The sequence below is a fragment of the Homo sapiens genome, chromosome 6, assembly GCF_000001405.40.
Source record: "Homo sapiens chromosome 6, GRCh38.p14 Primary Assembly".
Taxonomy (NCBI): domain Eukaryota; kingdom Metazoa; phylum Chordata; class Mammalia; order Primates; family Hominidae; genus Homo; species Homo sapiens.
Window position 1 is genome coordinate 166,939,697 of NC_000006.12, and position 19,286 is coordinate 166,958,982.

The following is a 19,286-nucleotide window of genomic DNA, read 5'->3' on the forward strand; positions in this document are numbered from 1 at the left end:
GGCAGGACAGCTAATTACCAGGAAACACCTCAGGCCCATTTTCCATTTCAGCTTCTACAAATTATAGTTTAAGCATCCATTCTACATAGAGGACAATAAGAACAACTGAATAGCCTATAACTAAAGGGCTGCACGTGAACAGCAATTTGTATTCCAGAAAAATGTGGTCACTGAGAATGATTCCTGATATTTTACTGCAGATTAAAGGTTTACAAAAATCTTTCACGTTCTTCGTTTGGTTCTCAAAACTCTGCAAGGCGGAAATATCACTGCTAGTTTACAGACAGGGAATGGAAGCCCAGAAGGGCCAGGGGACTTGCTGAAGGTCACTCAGAGCCTGCCCTTGAAGGCCACGCTCAAGTCCAAGGTCAGCGCCCTTCCCACTGCACTGGGCTGTCATCCAATCAACTGCTGACGAGATTGACAGCCACCTTCAGAATGACTGGCGTGTCATCAGATGTTTATCATCTTTAGCATGAAAAGACAAAATGGGAATCAGATTTCCTCAGCTTTATTGGTGATGAATTCATGAAGTTTTAATAAATAACATTCATGCAACCACTTATAAAGCACTTATATGCAGTCTTAAAAACACAATCTAAATGTGCATTAATTCACTGGCAAAATTCATCCAAAATACTAGTTTTAAATAATTCCTATTGATTTAACTCTCAGAAAATGATGAAAAGTTGAAAACAGGAACGATGAAAGTGGATGAGTAACTGTCTTCATCTAGAAGCCTTTCCAGAGCAAATTACCTGATAACTTCCTATATCCTATAAGGTAGAAAAAGGAGATTATTTTAAACTAATTGAAATGTAACCTGAATTCCAGGTGACTTAGTTTCTATAAAACAGGGGTAATTCTGCAGGTGAGATGAGGTGTGCTGAGCCCTTCCACATGAATGAAAACAGTTCCTGGCTCACAATAAACAGTAAATGTCAGCCATCATTATTCCTGGAGCAAGCTTAACTCAACAGATGTTGGAAATAGATTGATATTCATGGAGCTCACAGCATTCACTCACACTTCATTTGGACTGGACCTTTTTTTTTTAAGCATCAGAACGGTCAGTCACCAATGCGAAGTGACTCAGCGTGTTGCCCTCTGTGCTGAGAGACACCCTGACTCACCCACCAAGAGCAGATGCAGCCAGGAGCGGATGTCCCAGGCTCACCCACCCACTGTCACCCAGCCCGCTCGGCCACAACAGGCAGCCAGTCCTCGGGGCTGGTTATGCCCAAAGACACATTCCACAGCAGTGCTGTGACACCTTCCCCTGCCCAAGGAGCAGAGGTGGAGAAGCCAGAGGCCAACCCCCATGGAGTTAGTCAGGTGACTTGAGTGATAGGCACAGGACTGGGTGACACAGCCCAGACAGGAGCTCCTCCCTAGCTGATATTTTGTATTTAGGAGCACTCAAAAATATAAATATTAATTTGTGTGTGAGATTTATCTTTTTCATTTAGAACCAGTTTTTTAAGTGTGTAATTCAACTATCAACCTGAAAATTTAAAGTAAGTCATCTTGCCTTTATCAGAGCCCAAAAATAAATGCATACTGTGCCCACACTGTTTTGATTAAATGCTCAAGACCCAGCTCACTGAAGGCCTTTGCATGTTTGCTGATTTATTTTAAGCCATTTAGCTAAAATCTGACAGACTCTATCATGGAACATTGTAACAACTGGAAAAATTCTCTTTCACATAACTCAGTTACCATAAACTCATCATCTGAAGTACACTGTGAAGTGACATATAATTTTTTTTCCTATCTTCTTCCATTCCAACTTATCATGGCCATTATTTTGAAATAATTTTCTAGAACACAGGCTGTGCAGAACAGGTGACTGAGACCTGAACCATTCACCACCCGAATTTTCAAGGGTGATTCAACGCACAGACTGAGGGTCCATGAATCCTAAGGCCACTTCACTGCCACACCGATGAACCAGAAAGGGGGACATCACTTCCATTTCATTTTGTTTTCAAAAGCTTTCTTCTAAACTTAACTTTTAATTTTCCTGAAAATTATACACAAAAATATTTCTAGGTTAATCTTCCCACCTAAAATTTGATGGGTTGTAATCTGAATTATAAATTGCAATATTGAAGTGGGATAGAGAAAATAATTACCTTCAGTTAATATAATGTTAATACAAGGAATTTAACTTTATGTTCTTAAAAAAGCCAGGATTTTAAAAGCTATCTTGAATTCAACATGGCGTTTATGCCCTAGGCTTAGCTTCTGCTGAACTTAAAGGTGCTTCACTATGACTGAGGTCTCAGCCTCACATGCTAAGTCTCACTTTCTCTCCTCCCTAAGTCATAGGCATGAGATCATCATTTTAGAAGACATCTTCTTTTTTTTTTTTGAGATGGAATCTTGCCCTGTTGCCCGGGCTGGAGTACAGTGGTGCAATCTCGGCTCACTGCAACCTCCATCCCCTGAATTCAATTGATTCTCCTGCCTCAGCCTCCCAAGTAGCTGGGATTACAAGCGTACGCCATCATGCCCAGCTAATTTTTGTATTTTTAGTAGAGATGGGGTTTTGCCATGTTGGCCAGGCTGGTCTCGAACTCCTGACCTCAAGTGATCCACCTGCCTTGGCCTTCCAAAGTGCTGGGATTACAGGTGTGAACCACTGTGCCTGGTCTCTTTTTTCTTAATGTATTTGAAGACAGGAGCACAATTTCCTTAAGAAATATTCTCTCCTGTCTGATATGGACTAATTCTTAGATATGCAAGCATTGGACTTTGTTAAGCCTCAGAAGAGAAAATTTGTATCTTTATTTTGTTTTTGAGACAGGGTCTCACCCTGTCACCTAGGCTAGTTATCACCCCAGCTGATCACAGCTCATTGCAACCTTGATCTCCCGGGACCACAGCCGCACAATACCACATCTAGCTGACCTTTTAAATTTTTGGTAGAGGTGGCATTTTGTCATGTTACCAGGCTGGTCTCAAACTCCTCAGCTCAAGCAATCCACCCGCCTCAGCCTCCCAAAGTGCTAGGATTACAGGCACGAGCCATTGTGACTGGCCGAGAAAAGTTTTAAAGCAAAGTAATAAATACCATACAGGTTAGAAAACAGGCTTATATGGTAAATTCCACTTGCTTTCAATTTTTTATACATTGGAGAAAGGCACCAAAAATGCCGTAACAGAATCATATCTCATAAAAGGTTGTTCAAACTGCTCAGCCCCAGAAGACAGATTCTGTTATCTTGCTTCCCACACAGTTTCCACTTCTAGCGATTCATCACGCTCCCCACACCCGCTCAGACAGTAATCAAGACAGCAATCAGAGGCTGGGACTTACCAGAAGCGGCTGCGATTGGGAAACGAGTGAATTACGTCAGGCCAGTATGCCCTCATTTCTGGCAAAAGATCCTATGCATTAAAAAATAAAATAAGTCTACGCAGGTTCTTAATAATAAACTCAAAACCTAGAAGGTAAATTTGATAAACTGACACCAAAGAATTGAGCTCTGCTAATTAACAATACTTTGGTGAATAAAATAATCCTATGCTTATTTTGTATGAAGTGTTTGTTAAGATATATCTACAAGTGCAATTTGAGTAATCATAAAACTGCACACGAAAATACAAGCTGTTATAGGTGAAGGGATAAAGTGTACATCCAAACAATGGAATATTTTCAGCAACAAAAACCAATGAGCCGTCGAGTCATGAAAAGACACTGGAGGAACTGCAAACATACATTGCTAAGTGCAAGAAGCCAGTCTGCAGAGGCTACATACTGTATGATTCCAACGACGTGACAATTTGGAAAAGGTAGTCTTAAGAGACAGGAATGAGATTCGCGGTTGCTTGGGGGTTCAAGGGGAGGAAGAAGGGGAGGTATGGCTCAGGGGGTTTAGGGCCAGCGGCTGCTCCAGAGCACACTGGGTGGGACTTGCTCTCCTGCATTTGTCCAAAGCCGCACAACACAGGAGTAAACCCTAATGTTAATGCTAAACTTTATTTAATAATAAAGTATCAGTATCAGTTCATTAATTGTAACAAATGTAACACACTATAGAAGATGTTAATGATTGGGAGAGTTGAGGGGGAAGGGAGTGAACTGTCTGTAATCTCCATCCAATTTTTCTGTAAACCTATAACTGTTCTAAAAACATTGGCCGGGCACGGTGGCTCACGCCTGTAATCCCAGCACTTTCGGAGGCCGATGCGGGCGGATCACGAGGTCAGGAGATCGAGACCATCCTGGCCAACCTGGTGAAACCCTGTCTCTACTAAAAATACAAAAATTAGCTGGGCACGGTGCCACATGCCTGTAATCCCAGCTACTCAGGAGGCTGAGGCAGGAGAATCGCTTGAACCAGGGAGTCGGAGGTTGCAGTGAGCCGAGATTGCGCCACTGCACTCCAGCCTGGCGACAGAGTGAGACTCCATCTTAAAAAAAAACAAAACGAAACCATCAGTTAAAACAAACAAACAAACAAAGGACAAGCTCTCCTTTTCCCAGAGAAGAGCTTGTGTGAGCTGGGCAGCCTGGGCACCAGTCGCGCTAAATCCAACAGAACTGGAGTTTACTTTTCTATTTCTACACACCCTCTACACCAAAAAAACCCCAAAAAGGTCAGTAAAAAGGTGCTTAACAAACTTCGGATAACTTCACTTTCCTTCCCTTTCTCCTGTTTTCCAGCACCCTATATGAGGGTCCTTTTCTCAGCCCATTTGTAACTCAGCCCCTACCCCACAGCCCCTGCCTGTGTGGGCGCAGCTCTGTCCCCCTCCTCTTCCCCTCCAGCCCCCCACCCCACCTCTCCTGCCCCACCATGCTGGCTTCAGCCCCATCAGCTCTCCGAGATGTCCTAGGGCACGATATGATTGAGTGTGCAAATTGGGCTACTTCCGTTTGGGACAATGCAAAGGTGTTCCTACTGCTACACAACAAGGAAGCCAGGACTACTCTGAGGAGCAGCGGCTCACACCACCACAGACCCACGACCCACCCACGCCCCCACTCAAAAAGCATTTCAGCTTTCCTGTCCTGGACCCCCCGGGGATATGCAGTCCTACGGTGCCTCTTCTCAAATCTCTCCACTCCTGGGTTTCCGCCTTTCCCAGCTGCAGGCACACATGCCCCTTTCCACCTGGCTGTTAACACGGGGCTCCACCAGCACTGTCCCCTCTGCCCACCAGGCCCACACCTGTCAGCGCTGTCCCCTTAGCCCACCCACATCCGTCAGCCCTGCCCCCTCACCCACCCACGTCCACACCTGTCAGCCCTGCCCTCACCCACCCACGTCCACACCTGTCAGCCCTGCCCTCACCCACCCACGTCCACACCTGTCAGCCCTGCCCTCACCCACCCACGTCCACATCTGTCAGCCCTGCCCTCACCCACCCACGTCCACACCTGTCAGCCCTGCCCTCACCCATCCACGTCCACACCTGTCAGCCCTGCCCCCTCATCCACCCACGTCCACACCTGTCGGCCCTGACTCCTCACCCATCCATGTCCACAGACCCATGTCCATCCCCACACCTGTCATTTTGATTCACCATCCTCATGCTAACTATGCCTAAAGCCACCTTTCCTCTGACCCTGAAGATCCTCTATGTCACCCCCTGGAGGTCTCAAGGGCACTTCAAACTCAATGTATCCTGAAGTGGCCTCTTCATCACGCCTCCCCAGAAACCATTCCCTGCAGTGAGTCCCGGAGGAGAGGAGGAGAGTCTGTGTGAGGAGCTAGAGACAGCACCAGGCTCTGGGGTGTCCCTTCTAAGTCTCACGGCAGTCCCCAGCCTCTTGGCTCATCCCACTGAAGGTCTTCACGGGGAGGAAAAAGAAAACAATTCCATATGGATTAGAACTTGTGGGCTGGGCGCGGTGGCTCCCACCTGTAATCCCAGCACTTTGGGAGGCCGAGGCAGGTGGATCACCTGAGGTCAGGAGTTCGAGACCAGTCTGACCAACATGGGGAAACCCCATGTCTACTAAAAATACAAAATAAGCCGGGCATGGTGGCGCATGCCTGTAATCCCAGCTACTCAGGAGGCTGAGGCAGGAGAATTGCTTGAACCCGGGAGGTGGAGGTTGCAGTGAGCCAAGATTGCGCCACTGCACTCCAGCCTGGGCAACAAGAGCAAAACTCTGTCTCAAAAAAAAAAAAAAAAAGAAAAGAAAAGAAAAAAAGAACTTGTGATGGATTTGCAACTAATGACCTTGGGGAATGTACCATTCCTAGGAAAGACCCACAACTCCCGCAAGCCTTCAATGCTACCACACGTTTTAAAGAAGGCCTCAGTTACCACCCCCTCCCTGGGGTCCAGGTCCAGTTACCCTGGTATATACTGGTTACACACAGGAACTGTTGGCACCCCTAAGGAAAGATGAGGGCGTGTGTGTGAGTGAAGACTCCGTATGACATATAAGGTACGGGTATCTCAAAGGAACGCCTCTGCTAGTATCTCTAATAAATTCCCGCCCTGTGAGTTTTCTTTAATCAAGCTCTTGTACTGGAAAGGCCCAGCATGTCCACCTGCTCAGAAACCCATCCACCAGATAGGACGGCCCCAGGCCTGTGCTCTCTGAGCCTCAGCTGTCTGGAGATGCCTGGCGATATGGCACACCGACCAGATTCCCACGTCGGTCATCTGACCCAGAAGTCCTGGGGCCTGGGACGAGGCGGGGCTGGCGGGCGAGCGTCAGGATCTGCACAGGTCTGGCATGGGGGAGTGTCAGGGCTTGCTCCGGTCGGAGCCCCTCGCTCAGGCCCCTCATGCAGTGGCTTGGGCACAGGGCAGGGGAGGGGAGGAGAGGGAAAAGGTCAATTGGTGTAATTTGTGGGGTCGAGATAACAATACTTACTAAAACAGCAGCAAGGGCTCAATCCTGGTGAATACATTCATGACCCCTTAATTTTAAAGATGACTTTGAAGGTACGCTTGTGAAGAAAAGAGTTAATCTAGGTCAACACTCTGCAGTAGAAATATAATTAAAAGTCAATACCTTAATCTCTTCTAAATTGAAGGGCCACGATCTATTACATCCTTCACTTTTATCGGGCCTGGAAATTCAAATTTAAAAGAGAAAATAAGAAATATTAGGCTTGGTTGGGGTGGCTTCTACATGACCTTAGAAAACACTTTCATTGAAGTCTGCAAAGAATAAAAAGAGAAATTCTAATTGGGAATTCCTTATCCCAGGCAGGATGCTTAAGAAAGAAGATGCAGGTAAGAGGAGTCAGAGTTCAAATTTCTTTAGAAGGGAAAAGAAATTGTGTTAAACCGTCCAGGAGTAATGCAGACAGGCCACTGCTTAGTAAAGGAAGTGCAATGGATAGCCTAGTAGCACCGAGGAGCGGGGACTCTGGGGTCAGCCCCGGCTGGGTTGACGGCAACCTCTGCTGCTCCCTAGCACCGAGACCTAAGTAAGCTGACCCCCGGCCAATCTCCGCACCACAGATCCAGCATGAGAACAGCGAGAGTCTGTTCCTTTCAATGGTGAGGAGGACTCCAGGAGATGACAGATAAAACATGTCAGAAAGTGCCTGGCGTATGGCAGAAGATCAGCTAGTAGGATTTTCATTTCATTTTCAGTAGCAAACGCACTTACACTGTCTAGAACTTTAACTCCATCCTCACACATCTAATTCTGGACTTATCAACTCTGACTCTTGAGTGCTGCTTACTCCACAAGGTCACTAACTTCCTAAGACCCCGACCCCTCAGAGCCCCAAAGAGGCCAGGGAGGAGAGTGTCTTCAGGGTCAACAGCTGGACCAGCATGTGAAACCTGCCTGATTCTATCCGCTGGACTGGACAGCATTGCAAAGCTTCATTCCAGCCTCAGAAATGAAACGGCCATGATGGGCAGAGGTACATTCAGAGCACTTGGTCACAGCAGGGGAGAGGACACCACGCAAAGTCTAGCAAAGCCAGGAGCCCCAGAGACAGGAGGTCAAGGTTATCTGACCAGACAGAGAAGAAAGTGAAACCCGAAGCCAAGTACCTACATCCCAGTTTAACTTGTTTTCCACCAATCCCTCTTCCTAAGGAGCCAGGAGGCACCAATTAAGCTAAAAGGGCCCTTTTCAATCCCGGCATCGAGGCAGTGGGACAAAACGGGTCCTTCAGATGGGGCGATTAATGTGCACAGTTCAGCGTCACAAGTATGTCCATGTTACATAGAAAAGAATTAACTGAACAAAACGCAGACAAAACCAGAATAATAAATTTGAGTGTCTCTGAAATGTGTACGAGACGTGCATTTATGTATTTTCATGTAGTTATTTATAATAAACCCCAAGAGAAGAACAAAATGAGAAAATTAAAATGTAGTGACCCTGACATGTACCGAGAATCTGTAAACACTATTTTAAAAAGTGTTATTGGCTGGGCACAGTGGCTCACACCTGTAATCCCAGCACTTTGGGAGGCCAAGGTGGATGGATCACCTGAGGTCAGGAGGTCGAGACCAGCCTGACAAACATGGTGAAATCCTGTCTCTACTAAAAATACAAAAAATAGCCGGGTGTGGTGGGGCGTGCCTGCAATTCCAGCTACTTGGGAGGCTGGAGCAGGAGAATCACTTGAACCTGGGAGGTGGAGGTTGCAGTGAGCCAAGATCGTGCCACTGCACTTCAGCCTAGGCAACAGAGTAAGACTCTGTCTCAGAAAAAAAAAAAAAAAGTGTTATTGTTCTATGAAGACAGAATTAAAGAACAAGAGAATCAGGGTTCTGCTAGAAAGACTAAAGATATTTTTAAATAAGAATCTAGTCTATTGGATAAACTCCTAAAAATAAAAAACAAGAATAAATATTAAGACCACATTCAAGCTAGGGTTCCCAGTCAGCAAGCCTCTTCTGCCTAAGATTTAATTGTGTGAGACACTTGCCATAGTCCATGTATTGTCCAGTAATCCGGAGGGTCTCTACAGTCGTTTTGAATTTTCTAGGGAGAAAATATAACAAGAAAATGATTGGCTCTTTGTTTATTCAAATACACTTAGGAACCCTATTAAAATACATTTAGCAGCTAGTTGCAACATATGCCAACGAGATACAGGTACTGCACTAATAACACAAGCTAAAGCCAGGGCTACTTCACAATACATTGCTTACAACAACACATCCATGAGGAAGCTACACTAGGGCTGGATGTTCTAAGCCAAACGTCAAACAACTGACTTAACAGAAACAGCCATTTTTGTTAAGCCATTCCTCAAATATTTGACTTAACAGAAACAGGTGTTTTTATGGGCCAGGCGCAGTGACTAATGCCTGTAATCCCAGCACTTTGGGAGGCCAAGGCGGGTAGATCACCTGAGGTCAGGAGTTCCAGACCAGCCTGGCCAACCTGGTGAAACCCCATCTCTACTAAAAATACAAAATTAGCTGGGCGTGGTGGCAGGCGCTAATAGTCACTACTACTCAGGAGGCTGAGGCAGGAGAATTGCTTGAACTCAGTGAGCCGAGATCATGCCATTGCACTCCAGCCTAGGTGACAAGAAAAAAACCGTGTCTCCAAAAAAAAAAAAAAAAAAAAAAGGCTGGGCACAGTGGCTCACGCCTGTAATCTCAGCACTTTGGGAGGCGGAGGTGGGCAGATCATGAGGTCAGGAGATCGAGACCATCCTGGCCAACCTGTGAAACCCTGTCTCTACTAAAAATACAAAAATTAGCCAGGTGTGGTGGTGGGCTCCTACAGTTCCAGCTCCTCAGGAGGCTGAGGCAGGAGAATAGCTTGAACCCGGGAGGCAGAGCTTGCAGTGAGCCGAGATCGCGCCACTGCACTCCAGCCTGGGTGATAGAGCAAGACTCCATCTCAAAAAAAAAAAAAAAAAAAAAAAAAGAAAGAAATGATCAAGGGCATAATCTGAGCCAGATAAGTGAAACTGCATTTTCATTTGTCAACAGAAAAATCAGTTGAGGAAGTAGAACAGAAAGTCCTTACTGCTCAGTGCTGGAGAAAGAGGGTCAGAGGCCAAAACCTGTAACTTCACCTCTGCCACTCAACTCTATCCCTCAGGGAACCCAGTTCAAAGCCAGAAGCTGGGCTCCTTTCCTGGAGGCAATGCAGAGAGCAAAGCCTGCACCACACGGGGCTCTGAGGGCTCTGCACAGCACTCAGTTCCCAGGCCTGCCTGCATGGAGCTGTGGGAGAGCCCAGAACACTGAGAACCCGACAGGCAGACTGAGCATCTTTGACACAAGCATCTCATCAGAGGGGGCACCAGGGACAGCCCTCACTGCCTAGGAGGACACCTGGGCTCAAACAGAACCCTTCACCATGGCTGCCCAGTAGGAAATACACTCCTTAACAAGGACATTTTGCTACAGATTTTTTTTTAAATCTTGTTTCTAAAGCCTCAAGGCAAAGATGTGCCTCCACCCATATTTACATTCAGTGTGCAGGGACACACCCACGTTTTGTCATGTAAATGCCTCCCTGAATGCAGAGCAGCCTGGTCTCAGGCCCTGGAGGCAGATCCTTCAGTGTGGGTCAAAGACAGTGCTTAAGTTCCAGCTCCTCCTCCACGGTCCTTCTTCCGTAGGAACCAAGGACTCCAGCAATCCCTCCCTATCTCAGAATGCCAGCTACACTCCCAACAATTGAAAGTTGATGCCAGGCAGCTTCCGGCTCCTTCTGTCCACTGCCCCAACCCAAGGCAAGGAAACAGCAGCAGGAGCGCAACATTAAGTCTGCAAAACTGAAAACGGGGCAATCTCGTGTACAGAAGTGAGCAAGAGCATAATTTGAGCCAGATAAGCAAAATTTCATTTTCGTTTGTCATCAGAAAAATCAGTGAGGAAGTAGAAGCGAAAGTCACTACCACTCAGTGCTAGAGGCAAAACATAAAGCCTGCGTGCTCCTGACAGAATGTGGTGCTAGCTCAGCAACACGGTCAAACACTTGAGAAGTGTGCAATGCACACCAGGGTCAGCTTGACACACCGAGCAGGGTACGCCCTGAGGTGCAGATCCAGGCAGTGTCCTGGCTCTGGGTGCTCCAATGAGAAGGGCCTGGACACTGACGCACTGAAGGGATGTGGGCATGGAGCAAAACGCAGCCAGATGATGAGGGGCCAGCCCGGAGGGCCGTGAGTGCCATGGGTGCCAAGCACAGCAAAGGAGGCAGGGAAGCTCTTGGGTCCTCTTCACTCACAGGACATGTTAATAAAATGTCCAATACATGGAGGGATGTAGGGACCAGCCCTACAGGGACTGTGGGTTTTTCTCCTCGTGTGGAGACGAGAGATTGTAGAAATAAAGACACAAGACAAAGAGACAGAAGAAAAGACAGCTGGGCCCAGGGGACCACTACCACCAAGACGCGGAGACCAGTAGTGGCCCCGAATGCCTGGCTGCACTGTTGTTTATTGGATACAAGGCAAAAGGGGCAGGGTAAGGAGTGTGAGTCATCTCCAATGACTGATAAGGTCACGTGAGTCACGTGTCCACTGGACAGAGGGCCCTTCCCTGTATGGCAGCGGAGGCGGAGAGAGAGAGAGGCCAGCTTACGCCATTATTTCTTCTATGCATTTCAAAGACTTTTAGTACTTTCACTAATTCTGCTACTGCTATCTAGAAGGCAGAGCCAGGTGTACTGGGTGGAACATGAAAGTGAAACAGCAGTGTGACTGCTGAAGCACAGCATCACGGGGAGATGGTTAGGCCTCCAGATGGCTGTGGGCAGGCCTGACTGATATGAGGCCTATCCACAAGAGGTATGGTGAAGCAGAGTCTGCTCTAACTCCCTTTCCCAGTCTGCTGAGTAACGGGTGCCTTCCCTAGGCACTGACGCTACCACTAGACCGAGGTCAGCTAAGTAATGGTTGCCTTCCCAGGCACTGGTGTTACCACTAGACCAAAGAGCCCTCTAGTGGCCCTGTCCGGGCGTGACAGAGGCTCACACTTGTCTTCTGGTCACTTCTCACCGTGCCCCTTCAGCTCCTATCTCTGTATGGCCTGGTTTTTCCTAGGCTGTAATTGTAGAGCAAGGATTATTATAATATTGGAATAAAGAGCAATGCTACAAACTGATGATTAATAATATTCATATATCATCATATCTATAATCTATTTCTAGTATAACTGTTCTCATTTTATATATTTTCTTTATTATACTGGAACAGCTTATGCCCTCGGTCTCTTGCCTTGGCACCTGGGTGGCTTGCCGCCCACAGAGGGAGGAGACAAACTGAGGCTTGCTGTGGGTTGAACCGTGTCCTCCCAGAAGATATATCCCTGTCCTAACCCCTCCTCCCATCTGTGAACATGACCCTACATGGACACAGGGTCTTTGCAGATGTCATCAAGAAAAGGTGATACCAGATTAGGGTGGGCCCTAAATCCAATTACTGGTGTCCTCATCAGAAGAGACAGAGAGACACAAAGTGGAGAACACACCGTGAAGGAGAAGGCAGAGATTGGGGTGATGGGTCAGCCCAGGAACGCAGAGGACCACGGGTCCTTACTAGAAGCTAGCAGAGAAACAGAACAAACTCTCTCAGAGCCTTCCAGGAGGAACCAACCCTTCTGACCCCTAGGTTGAAACTTCCCCTTCCAGGACCGTGAGAATAAATTCCTGAGGCTCTCAGCCACCCAGCTTGTGGCACTTTTGTTACAGCAGCCCTGGGAAGCTCACACACAGCCCTCCTGGAGGCAGTCTCTGCAGGAGACACCGCCCACCCGCCAGAGCGATGCCTACCTCCCGCACCAGCAGCGTGGGTGCCCTGGACGGGCACGTGCACACAAACCCCTCTTCACAGGGCTCCCCAGGCCCCAGGGCCCGTCAAGGCAGAAACACTCACCTCGCATACTGTCTCAGGCCAGTGCTGAACCATAATTAGTTTTTTCCACTCATGGTTGTCACTGTTAAAACATAAGAAACTTATTTTTCAAGAACTTTTTTTAAAGTTACAGAAAAAATTCATCCACCCATCCATCCCTTCAATCATTCATTCAGCACTGAGTGCTGTGGGAGGAGGAACACTGCCTGCCCTGCTGCTGCACACACTCCCGTGAGGAAGGCGGTACACCCCTACACTAAGAAGGCACGTGTGGTGGCGTCCAGTGCTGAGTGGCGGAGAACATGAATAGGATAAGGGGAGGAGGGGAGAGGAGGGGAAGCGGAGGCAGGGCAAGCTAGGAGTGCAGCCAGGGAGGGCCTCACTGAAGGGAAGCCACTGAGCCACGAAGCACCTTTCTCCTAAGGATGCTCAAGAGAAATGCAGACCCACGATCCCTCCCCTGCATTCGTGAAACCCATAAAAGCCTGAAACCTGGTAGTTTTTTGTAATTCATTTGGCAACAAAACATAACCTGAACTAGCATAACGCTATTTATCGTTACTACCCCAACTCAGTTTTTAGACTTCACTTGCTTCTCTGCAGAATTTGTGTCATTTGATTTTAGGGTGCTACTTCAGATGCCACCAGGACTGTTAACTTGAACACGGTATGTGCACTGCATCATGAATGTTATTCACGACATGGTATGCACACAGCACTGCATCACACGTGTTACCCAGAACCTGGGGCCACACTGGATCACAAACCTGAACACCGTGAAACTCATCTGACTCTAAGACTTCAAAGAAGCCACTGTGGAGCGGCAGCTTATTCATGGCAGTAGGCCTCTAGCCAGAACTGCAAGACTTAACGAGACTGAAGTAAAAAGAGCAGCTTGCAAAAAATGCACATGGAAAAAGCCAGCAGCAACACAGGATATAAGTCAAGCAGACACTTCAGGATAAATCAAATTTTAGAAGGGAAGATTCCAAGTAAGAAGATCAAGTTGTCACACATTAGCTTTTGTAAATAATTGAGTCCTGTTGAATTTGTATAGAATTTACAGTTAAGATGGTATGAAAACTTAGTTGTACATTGGAACTAATTATGCAAGCTCTCAGTATAAAAGGAAAAAAGGGTTCAAGCGTGGTGGCTCACACCTATAATCCCAGCACTTTGGGAGGCAGAGGCAGGAGGATTGCTTGAGCTCAGGAGTTCAAGACCAGCCTGGGCAACATGGTGAAACCCTGTCTCTACAAAAATTAGCCAGGTGTGGTGGCATGAACCTGTAGTCCCAGCTACTTGGAAGGCGCTGAGGCAAGAGGATAGCTTAAGCCCAGGAGGTGGAAGATGCAGTGAGCCCAGATCACATCACTGCACTCCAACCTGGGCTACACAGCCAGACCCTGTCTCAAAAAAAAAAAAAAAGGATGAGCTGCAGGGTGAGAATTGGAGCTGGTAAAGCATTTTTTACCCTTGGGTGAAAAACCTTATTTTACATAGTCGGAACCTGAGGCTGGAAAGCTTAGCAACACCCAGGAAGATGAGACTATCAATATGCTTACAACAAAACTACCAAGACTCAGACGTTTGTAACAAACTCTCCATCTAAAACCAGGCAGAGTGATGTGACTGCAGGAGACCCCCTCCCACACAGATGCCCCCCTCCCCTATTCACGGAGAAAGTAATGGAGAAGCTAAAGAAAGTCAAAGAAGAAAGAAAAATCACCAAGGTCTCAAAACCAGTTAGAACTTGGGAAAATGCCCGCTGACCTATGAAGCCCTCGTGGTCTGAATCAACCATGTTCTCGCAAATCTTGCCTGCTCAAGTTTGTCCGATCATATCAGTTGCATGAATTATGGGCTGGGGTGGGGGATCCACATATGACAGCCTGTTTTATGCTAATGTTTACTTCCAGCCAGACATCATTCCAAGTTACATTCTGTACCTTAACTGATTTCTCCTGAAGCCAACTCTGTGAGGCTGACTGTTACTATTTCTACTTTACAGATGAGGAAACTGGGGCATAGAGAGCTCAAAGGTCCCACACCTGGGTGTGAACTAGCAGTTTCCACTCAGCCAGCAAGGGCCAGCATGCCACAGACTTCCCCAGTGAGAGGCTCTGAACCTCATGGCCAATAAATAAGGACATAAATGTAGCTCTTTTTCAGAAAATACACTTTCCGGAACACTGAAATATAATGCTACATTTTAATGTACATGATTAAAAATATATACCTAAGGTGTTTAAAAAGTAAAACCCTGGCCGGGTGCAGTGGCTCACGCCTGTAATCCCAGCACTTTGGGAGGCCGAGGCGGGCGGATCACCTGAGGTCAGAAGTTCGAGACCAGCCTGGCTATTAAAAATACAAAAATTAGCCAGGCGTGGTGGTGTGCATCTGTAATCCCACCTACTCAGAGGCTGAGGCAGGAGAATCGCTTGAACCCGGGAGGTGGAGGTTGCAGTGAGCTGAGGTCACGCCACTGTACTCCAGCCTGAGTGACAGAGTAAGACTGTCTAAAAAAAAATAAATAAGTAAAACCCACCTTTTCCACACCTACTATGTAAGTAAGAAATCCTATTAACCCGATCATTACCCAAATAGAAAGAAATAATATGGTATTCAAATATTGGTATCTTCCACAGAATTAAAGTTGGAGTTCTTTGCAGCACCGCCTGTTTACCCCTAATTAATTTGGGCGGCTGCCACACACACACACGCACACACGCACGCACACACGCACGCACACACGCGCACACACGCACGCACGCACACACACGCACACACGCACACACACACACGCGCACACACGACACACACGCACAGACGCGCACACACGACACACACGCACACACACGCACGCACGCACACGCACACGCACGCACACACACACGCACACACAAACGCACACGCACACACACACACGCGCACACACACACGCGCACACACACACACACGCGGAGGGCGAGCCAAGGGAAGGGATTCAGAACAGGATACTCAAAAAGAGGAAGAACCGTCGTTTCACCACCCGCCGCAGTGAAAGCTGAAATTAAGTGTCCCCTCCACGACTTCTTCGACCTCTGAGAGAACTTCGAGTGCAGGAACAGTGCTCCACCAAGCCTGCCACCTGCTTTGTCGCGTCCTAGGCTGGGAGCAGTCTGTGGGATGAGTTTCCAGTCCAGCTCCAGGCTGGAGTGTACCCAGGACCTCACCCTACCCCCTACTCCTTCCCAGGGGTCACCCCGGGGAGTGTTCAGGGCTCCCCAACCCACTTCTTCCCAGGAGTCACCCCAGAGCGTGCCCAGGGCTCCCCCCAACCCACTCCTTCCCAGAGGTCACCCCGGGGCGTGCTCAGGACTCCCCTCATCGCACTCCTTCCCAGAGGTCACTTCTGAGTGTGCTAAGGGCTCCCCCCAACCCACTCCCTCCAGGGGTCACCCCGAGGCGTGCTCAACTTCCCAACTTCTTCCCAGGGGTCACCCCGGAGCGTGCTCGGCTCCCCCCGCCCTCCCCAGTCGCTGCCCGGGGCTCAGCGACCGCCGACCCCGAGAGCTGCAGCCTTCACCCAGTGGAAAGCTCTAGGGCCCGGCTCCCACGCTCCCCACTTTACCTCGCAAGGTAACTCACCGCAGGCGCTTGTCCGCACCGCCCAGGCAAAGCAACGCCAGGCAGAGGCAGCCCAGCAGGGCCCCGCGCAGGGCTGCAGGGCGCATGGTGCCGACCTGCGGAGAGAACGCTGCCAGCTGCCGCTCCGGCTCCCACTTCCCACCTGCTGCCCGAGGAAGACTTCCGGGAGAAACGCTGTCTCCGAGCCCCCGCGCCGCCGCGCTCCCTCCGCTGCAGCAGCGGCCACCGGGTGCGCCCGGAGCCCTGGGACGGCCTAAACCAGTATCTCGCGGGCCCCGCGCCGGGCTCCGGGAATGGCCGCAGCAGCCCTGGCGACCCGGGCCCCTCGGAGCTCCCCTTCAGGATCGTGCACCAAGCGCGCACGTCCCGGGCTCTGCTTCGCGACCCACAGCGACCCCAGCTCCTCCACGCTGCAGCCGCCGTCCGCCCACGACCACGGTCAGTCGCGTTGCTCCCAGCCCAGGGCGCCCTGCGGGCCTGCACCGGAGCAGAGAGCCACGCCCCCAGGACGGCACGCCCCCGCCGGTGGACACGCCCCCCAGAACGGCACGTCCCCGCCCGGCGTTCACGCCCCGCCCCGTGGTTGGCTCAGAGAGGCCGAGGCAGGAGCAGCTCCGCGGGCCTTGAGGGCGTGTCAGGCGGCTGTGTTCCTTCGCCACGCAGGCGCCCCGCGCCTTTTCCCGCAGCTCTGCGCCACTCCCACACTCCCGGGTCCGAGCTAACCTAGACCACCCGTGAGGACCGCCCTCGGGGGGACCGCCCGTGTCTGCGCCATCCCCCGCCAGCAAGTGGGCGTGCGGGCCCCAGGGCCACTCTACTCTCCAGGGACAGCCCCCAGCCCGACCCGCGCACCCTGCAGGCCCGCGGTCCGCACGCAGCACCCGCTTTCAAAAACTGCGCCCTGCAAGCTGCCCGGGAGCTCCTGACTGCAGATGGTGCTTGGCCGCCCAGGCTCCCCGCAGCCTCCCGCCACCTCGGCGCTCCACTGCGCAGCCCGAGGGACGGCTCCAGAATTAGGAGGGGACCTACTCGGGTCACTCTCCTGGAAACCTCTCCAGTCTCCCGGTGCTAGGTGCTGGGAGCACCAACATTCCTAGAAGGGCCTGGCCCTCACCCAGCCCTGGGCCTCACCTGCCCCTCCCCGCGGGCCCCAGGAGCCCGGAAGTCATCTCTGTGGGGGCAGCAAAGAGCCGCCTCGGGGCGCGACCTGGGAAGTCATCTTGTGAGGGATCCCCTCCCAGAGGGACGGGCCACCCCCCACGGATGAAGGGGACTTCATGTCAGCCCCACCTTGGCGTAGCCAGGGCCAGTCCCATAGGCCCGGTCTCCTCCCCCAACACCCTGGCCTTCCCAGCCCTTCAGAGGCACGGGTTCCCCTGCACCCGCGGCCCCGCCCACGGGCTGTGCACCCGGCATTGTCTCTGCAGATGTTTCTCCTCTTTCCCTTCCCTGTCCGCACACCCACAGCTAGTTAAGGCTATTCCTATTTACACGTCGAGTAAACTGCGCCTTCCTCGGGGTCCTCTGCCACTGGTAACTGTCTAAATAGCAGGTGGGCCTGTAGCCTGCTCTCCCACAGGCCTGGACCTTGCCTGCATGCATTACCATTCTTTGAAACAAAATATTTAAATGATTAATCTGTTTTTCCCACTAGACTGCAAGGCAAGGCCCATGTCTATTTTGCCCACCTTGAGTCCCTGCCACTGAGCACAGTGGATGGGGGACAGTCGGTGCTCAATAAAATGCCACCTGTGGAACAGATGGGGGGGGAAAATGGCTGACACCTCCTTAGCTCCTCCAGGACCTCCTACAGGTCATGGTGTTATTCTCGTTCTCCTTTTCCCTAACGACTTATTTGTTTCTTTCCGGCTCCTTTCATTCCTTCCTCTCAAGAATATAGGCACACGCCACAGTTCTTTTTCTCTTTTCTTTTAAGCTAAAAAAATAATTTTCTTAAAACAAAAGTGCTTCCCAGAATCCTCATTTTCCTTTAAATCACAGTCCGGTGTGTTTAAACAGCCCCTTGTCAAGGAGGGCTGTTGTGACCACTGCCAAATATAAAGCAAATCTGGACTCGGGGAGGAGTGGTGTTATGAGGACCATTATTGCAGGGGCCTGGGGGCCTTTTGTCCCTACTAAAAATACAAAAATTTGCTGGGCGGGGGTGGCACGCGACTGTAATCCTGTGGCAGGAGGAGCGGCAGACAAAACCTCTCAGACACCGAGCTATAGAAGGAAGGGCTTTATTCAGCTGGGAGCATCGGCAAGCTACTGCCTTAAAATCCGAGCTCCCCGAATGCACAATTTCTGTCCCTTTTAAGGGCTCACAACATTAAAGATTTCACATGAAAGGGTCGTGATTGATTTGAGCAAGCAAGGGGTACGTGACGGGCTGCATGCACTGGTGGTCAGAGAGAAACAGAACAGGGCAGGGAGTTTCACAATGTTCTTCTATACAATGTCTGGAATCTATGAATAACATCGGTCTCTAAGTCATGAGTTGATTTTTAACTACTAGGTTTAGGCCAGGCAGGCCCAGGTCCGGTTTTGGGCCTGGCGCCGGGCTGCCTGTCTTTGATTTCACTTCCTTGTTTTTTTCTTAAAACAGGTACTGAGTATAAAACAATATAAAACAATATGAGAGGGTCTCTCTCTTCCCTCAATCCCAGCTACTCTGGAGGCTGAGGCAGGAGAATCGCTTGAACCCAGGAGGCAGAGGTTGCAGTGAGCCGAGATCGCGCCACTGCACTCCAGCCTGGGCGACAGAGTGAGACTCGGTCAACAACAACAACAAAAAGAATGAATGAAAGAAAGAAGAAAGAGAGAAAAAGAAAGAGAGAGAAAGAATGAACTGGGAATGGAGAAGTGGGATGAGAACCTGCCTTC

General features: G+C 49.7%; 1 protein-coding gene and 1 pseudogene across 1 annotated transcript in view, besides 12 other annotated features; both read right to left on the minus strand.

Annotated features, from left to right (window-relative positions):
- The window catches only part of RNASET2 (ribonuclease T2), a 34,438-nt gene extending 17,584 nt beyond the window's left edge, over positions 1-16,854 (minus strand). The window contains exons 1-5 of the mRNA NM_003730.6: positions 16,401-16,854; positions 12,792-12,852; positions 8,874-8,929; positions 6,986-7,043; positions 3,323-3,393 (exon numbers count right to left, since the gene is read on the minus strand). Of these exons, the coding sequence (NP_003721.2) occupies positions 3,323-3,393; positions 6,986-7,043; positions 8,874-8,929; positions 12,792-12,852; positions 16,401-16,486 (332 nt within the window). The 5' untranslated portion in view covers positions 16,487-16,854. The remainder of the gene's footprint in view (positions 1-3,322; positions 3,394-6,985; positions 7,044-8,873; positions 8,930-12,791; positions 12,853-16,400) is intronic.
- Positions 1,199-1,699: an enhancer, noted in NCBI's record as "H3K4me1 hESC enhancer chr6:167354383-167354883 (GRCh37/hg19 assembly coordinates)". NCBI's record gives its function as "activates a minimal SCP1, AML or CMV promoter by ChIP-STARR-seq in primed H9 embryonic stem cells {active_cell/tissue: H9 hESC(primed)}" and the evidence as "EXISTENCE:reporter gene assay evidence [ECO:0000049][PMID:30033119]".
- LOC105378119 (protein GVQW1-like) lies at positions 3,400-6,979 on the minus strand (annotated as a pseudogene).
- Positions 9,845-10,530: an enhancer, noted in NCBI's record as "OCT4-NANOG-H3K27ac-H3K4me1 hESC enhancer chr6:167363029-167363714 (GRCh37/hg19 assembly coordinates)". NCBI's record gives its function as "activates a minimal SCP1, AML or CMV promoter by ChIP-STARR-seq in naive H9 embryonic stem cells {active_cell/tissue: H9 hESC(naive)}" and the evidence as "EXISTENCE:reporter gene assay evidence [ECO:0000049][PMID:30033119]".
- Positions 9,985-10,279: a silencer, noted in NCBI's record as "tiled region #1234; K562 Repressive non-DNase unmatched - State 14:Gen5'". NCBI's record gives its function as "represses a minimal TATA promoter and a strong SV40 promoter by Sharpr-MPRA in K562 cells {active_cell/tissue: K562}" and the evidence as "EXISTENCE:reporter gene assay evidence [ECO:0000049][PMID:27701403]".
- Positions 9,986-10,055: a silencer, noted in NCBI's record as "silent region_17783". NCBI's record gives its function as "represses an Ori minimal core promoter by ATAC-STARR-seq in GM12878 lymphoblastoid cells {active_cell/tissue: GM12878}" and the evidence as "EXISTENCE:reporter gene assay evidence [ECO:0000049][PMID:35858748]".
- Positions 10,656-10,705: an enhancer, noted in NCBI's record as "active region_25441". NCBI's record gives its function as "activates an Ori minimal core promoter by ATAC-STARR-seq in GM12878 lymphoblastoid cells {active_cell/tissue: GM12878}" and the evidence as "EXISTENCE:reporter gene assay evidence [ECO:0000049][PMID:35858748]".
- Positions 10,826-11,745: an enhancer, noted in NCBI's record as "active region_25442". NCBI's record gives its function as "activates an Ori minimal core promoter by ATAC-STARR-seq in GM12878 lymphoblastoid cells {active_cell/tissue: GM12878}" and the evidence as "EXISTENCE:reporter gene assay evidence [ECO:0000049][PMID:35858748]".
- Positions 10,826-11,904: a biological region, named in NCBI's record as "H3K27ac-H3K4me1 hESC enhancer GRCh37_chr6:167364403-167365088".
- Positions 11,219-11,904: an enhancer, noted in NCBI's record as "H3K27ac-H3K4me1 hESC enhancer chr6:167364403-167365088 (GRCh37/hg19 assembly coordinates)". NCBI's record gives its function as "activates a minimal SCP1, AML or CMV promoter by ChIP-STARR-seq in primed H9 embryonic stem cells {active_cell/tissue: H9 hESC(primed)}" and the evidence as "EXISTENCE:reporter gene assay evidence [ECO:0000049][PMID:30033119]".
- Positions 16,620-17,379: a silencer, noted in NCBI's record as "silent region_17784". NCBI's record gives its function as "represses an Ori minimal core promoter by ATAC-STARR-seq in GM12878 lymphoblastoid cells {active_cell/tissue: GM12878}" and the evidence as "EXISTENCE:reporter gene assay evidence [ECO:0000049][PMID:35858748]".
- Positions 17,420-17,519: a silencer, noted in NCBI's record as "silent region_17785". NCBI's record gives its function as "represses an Ori minimal core promoter by ATAC-STARR-seq in GM12878 lymphoblastoid cells {active_cell/tissue: GM12878}" and the evidence as "EXISTENCE:reporter gene assay evidence [ECO:0000049][PMID:35858748]".
- Positions 17,790-17,839: a silencer, noted in NCBI's record as "silent region_17786". NCBI's record gives its function as "represses an Ori minimal core promoter by ATAC-STARR-seq in GM12878 lymphoblastoid cells {active_cell/tissue: GM12878}" and the evidence as "EXISTENCE:reporter gene assay evidence [ECO:0000049][PMID:35858748]".
- Positions 18,804-18,923: an enhancer, noted in NCBI's record as "active region_25443". NCBI's record gives its function as "activates an Ori minimal core promoter by ATAC-STARR-seq in GM12878 lymphoblastoid cells {active_cell/tissue: GM12878}" and the evidence as "EXISTENCE:reporter gene assay evidence [ECO:0000049][PMID:35858748]".